This window comes from Homo sapiens, chromosome 4, assembly GCF_000001405.40.
Source record: "Homo sapiens chromosome 4, GRCh38.p14 Primary Assembly".
In the NCBI taxonomy this organism is placed as follows: domain Eukaryota; kingdom Metazoa; phylum Chordata; class Mammalia; order Primates; family Hominidae; genus Homo; species Homo sapiens.
This window is the reverse complement of record NC_000004.12, coordinates 81560605-81565145: the sequence shown is the minus strand read 5'-3', so window position 1 is coordinate 81565145 and position 4541 is coordinate 81560605. Positions and strand designations below refer to the sequence as shown.

Sequence of the window (4541 nt, the reverse complement as noted above, 5' to 3'; positions counted from 1 at the left end):
GCATAAAACATGTGTTAGTCCACAGTGGATGCAAGGATGAACATCCATAGAAAGCAAGGACGGGACAAGCTAGTCACATTCTTGTCTTTTGGTACCATTATGACCTGTCTATATGGTTTCAGTTGGGCAGAAATATTAGCATAATAGCCCTAATATTGGGCTAACACTAAGAAAGAAGCACGTGTTCTCAAGTGATGCAAAAAGTCAGCAGAAGTTTTTTTTTAATTACCCTAAAAATAAGTGATCCTACCAGGAGTGGTGGCTCATGCCTGTAGTTCCAGCACTTTGGGAGGCCGAGGTGGGCGGATCACAAGGTCAGGAGTTTGAGACCCTCCTGGCCAACATAGTGAAACCCTGTCTCTACTAAAAATACAAAAATTAGACTTGCGTGGTGGCGGGCACCTGCAATCCCAGCTACTCGGGAGGCTGAGGCAGGAGAATTGCTTGAACCCGGGAGGTGGAAGTTGCAGTGAGCCAAGATCGTGCCATTGCACTCCAGCCCAGGTGACAGTGCAAGACTCTGTCTCAAAAAAAAAAAAAAAAAAAAGATCCTAAAACAGCTGGGGATGAATCATTCAACATAGTTGATCATTTGTCCCTTGAAACACTAGATTAATTTTATTGTAAGCTTTTTATGTGGAATTATATTAAACAATGTAATTCATTTTTCAGCTTCTTAAAAAGTATATTCTGGTTATATTTTTGCCTTTCTTTATTACTCAGTGTTAACTATTGTTAAAATTTAGTTATTTTCCTCTACAATTATATATTAATGATCTGGGACCTACTGAAGGTTGTAGACTTGTTTGCCCCTATGCCACAATCTGTATATCAACCGGATGCTTCAAGGTTTTCTTTTTATAATTTTCTGTTCCTTTCCTTGTTGCCACACTATCAGTAGCTACTCCACCCCTTCTCAACCCCCATTCAACTTGTTGGCTCTAATCTACTAAAGTCTTGGAAGTCAAATAGCTATGTGTACAAAAATTATGGATAAGGTAACAGGAAATAGGCTCTGAATCAGTACGTGAGCAAAATACCTGAACTTTAGTGTGTCAAATTTGTCAGTTTGTCGGTTTCAGTGTGTTTTGTTTTTGTTTTGTTTTATATTCTCATCTATGATCTCATTAACAGAGACTTCCAGGTGAATTCAGGAAAAATGAAGTACTTTTTAATATAAATTGAGGAAATCCTAGCCAATTGTTGAGCTTTATTGACCACAAACTTGACAGTGGAAATAATATTTGCAGAAAGGAAGGGCAGATTATTTTCTCCAAAATCAAAACATATTTATTACCCTAAAAACTTTAATTTGTGGCTATTTTACAAAATTTTAAAAATAAAAACTTTTTAGATCTCAAAACTTTTACCAAAGATACCCACTCTTAATATTATGGTCTTTCAGAAACTACCATTTAAATGACTGCTGGTTTTCTTTTAAATGGGAGTAATCAGATGGAATTATAGAGCTCATCATTTTGTATATATAGTACAAGTTTGTAACATCTCTACATATCATAAATATTTTTGCTTTGCAACATAATCTCCATTAAGAGCTCAATTATTGCCTAGTATATTGAAAGGGTATATGTCAATGTGTATATTTATTGGTCATTGTACATATCAGTGTATTTAGATTTTTCCACTTATTTTGTGAATTTATGTATTTGATATTTGAACATAATTTTTTTTACCAGATTGTTTTAATTTTGCCTTAATATTTTATTTTCTTTTGTCAGTTTTAACCATATTGTATAAATTATACAAGATAAATTCATTTTTCTAGCAAGATGTATTTTACAAAGATATGAACTAAAAAATAGAATTCATTTGGATGGAAACTTTCTTGACAGCACCCTGTGTGAAAACACTAATCAAAGACATCTGAGGTTGTTTTGTTTACTCAGATGTCAAAAAGTTTTTTCTCTCTCATCTTGCTTATTTTAAACTTTGTCTTCCTTTTCTCATTCGAAATAATGATTTTTAAAAGGCTATTCCTTTTCTGAATCTCCTGTATTCTCCAACCTATAAATAAAATCCTTCGACTCCTTTTGAAGTAGCAGTGATTCAAGCCTTATACTTAAACCAGGTGTATTGTTTTTATATTTATTGGTAATATATTACTTCATGGCATCCAAATGGATAAAGAGAATTTTGTTCACAGAATGTCCATACTAGAGGGAAATCTACTCACCATTGATCTTCCTCACAGATATCTTGAGAAAGAAAATATAGCTTTTATTCCTCTGTTTCTGAAGTACATGGAAACTATAGCAAGGAATTTAAGGTCATATTATATCACTTATTAAATGTATTAGGATTTATTAGTTGTACCCATCTAGCATGATTTTCAGTAAGAGGAGAAACTTCCATGTGGAGACTCAATAATAGATTTAAAATACCTGAGTCAGGTATTACACTTCTCTCAAAGATTTAAGGCATCCTTGAAAAAGAGTCTAAATGCAATAAGTTAGTGTAATATAACCAGTCTGCTGTGGAACACTTTCACCATGTCAGATCTCCCAGTAACAGGTTTTCTGAACTTGGGCTAGTGACAAGCTTACCTAGGCCTCAGTTTCTTCATTTGTAAAATGAAATGATTTGGTTCCATGAGGAGGCTGTAGATAAGCACAAGGTGCTACTCCTGGTTAGAATCTCAAAGAGAGTCAACATTAGAATGTTGATCTGAAAAAGCTGATATAGGAAGAATATTCTTCAGTTATGACATAGACTCCACCATTTATACAGGTTGGAGGGAAAAAATACTTTCTCATTTTCATGATTACAGCTGCTGGTTTCATTTCCTCCTTTGTAGGAACCCCCTGTTTTTACGTACAGGAAGGATGCTTGAAATAGAAGTGAAAGCAGAAACTCCAGGCAATATAGGAAACACCAAGTGAATGTATATGCCTGCAAGGGGACCTAGCTCTTTATCATTCTGAGTAATTTGGAAGGAAAGGTATTTAACAATGTCTGCTTCCTCAAACAATACCTTCCTTAGGTGAATGTACTGCCTAAAAGGTATTAAACATCTGAGTCCAAATTTCAAAGTAGAATTTCCCAAGGAATTTTCTTATAATAGAAATAAATGTTGTCACCTACTATCAGAGGTCAATTGAAATTTTTTGTTATAAATTCCTATCAACTTACTATTAGTAATTAAATAATTAGGGGCCTTTGAGTAGAAAGGCTGTCAAATGAGACTGGCAATACAGATGGCTTGTAAAGAGAACAGAGTCACCAAATACTTCTTAATGAGTAGCTAGTTCAAGGCAATCCAAAGCACCTCTCTATTTTGCCAAGCATGTTTTTGGTATGGTTATGGACATGGTGCTCCTGCAAAGACATTGCCCCAAATTCGGCATCTTTCTACATGGTTGCTTATGCTTCAAGCTGTTTAATAGCCACAGAGCCCTCCAAGGCTGGGCCTAGATTAGCATTTTTGAATCTTTTTTGATTATAACCCACAAAAGAAATGCATCCTAAACCATGATCCAGGACTCCCATATGTGAATGTATGCTTGTACGTATATCTACGCCAGTCAGAACGGTGATTTTTAAAAAGTCAAGAAACGACAGATGGTGGCAAGGTTGTGGAGAAGTATGAGCACTTTTACACTGTTGGTGGGAATGTAACTTAGTTAAACCATTGTGGAAGATGGTGTGGCTATTCCTCAAAGATCTGGAACCAGAAATATCATTTGAACCAACAATTCCATTATTGGGTATATACCCAAAGAAATATAAATCATTCTATTAAGAAGATATATGCATGTGTAAGTTCATTGCAGCACTATTCACAATAGCAAAGACATGGAATCAATAGAAATGCCTATCAATATACTGGATAAGGAAAATGTGATACATATACACCATGGAATACTATGCAGCCGTAAAATAGAATGAGATCATGTCCTTTACAGGGAGGGACATGGATGAAGCTGGAAGCCGTTATCCTCAGCAAACTAACACAGCAACAGAGAACCAAACATGGCATGTTCTCACTCATAAGTGGGAGCTGAACAATAAGAACACATGGACACAGGGAGGGAAACAACACACACTGGGGCCTGTTGGGGGTGGGGTTGGGGGAGGGAGAGCATTAGGAAAAATAGCTAATGCATGCTGGGCTTAAAACCTAGATGACGGGTTGATAGGTGCAGCAGACTTCCATGGCACATGTTTACCTATGTAACAAACCTGTACATCCTGCACATGTACTCCAGAACTAAAAATATAAATTAAAAGAAAAAAAAACAAAGCACATCCAGAAAGAGTGTCAGGAAATGATACTCTTACCAGATAGGATGAGATTTCCTGTTTTAGCGTATGTTGCTTTATTTGTTAAAATGCTGTGATGACCCACTATACTGACGATACAATCAACAAATAGGTTTCAGTCTACAGTTTGAAAAACATTGATCTAAATTAATAATAATTATGATAATAAAAATAGCAACAGTGAATAACAATACAATAAAAAGTTTCAACCAACAGAACCCTGGGCCTTCTTTAGAAGAATTAGTTATCTAAGAGTGACC

General features: G+C 35.5%; 1 annotated feature.

The window, feature by feature from the left end:
* Positions 2442-2611: an enhancer, noted in NCBI's record as "active region_21657". NCBI's record gives its function as "activates an Ori minimal core promoter by ATAC-STARR-seq in GM12878 lymphoblastoid cells {active_cell/tissue: GM12878}" and the evidence as "EXISTENCE:reporter gene assay evidence [ECO:0000049][PMID:35858748]".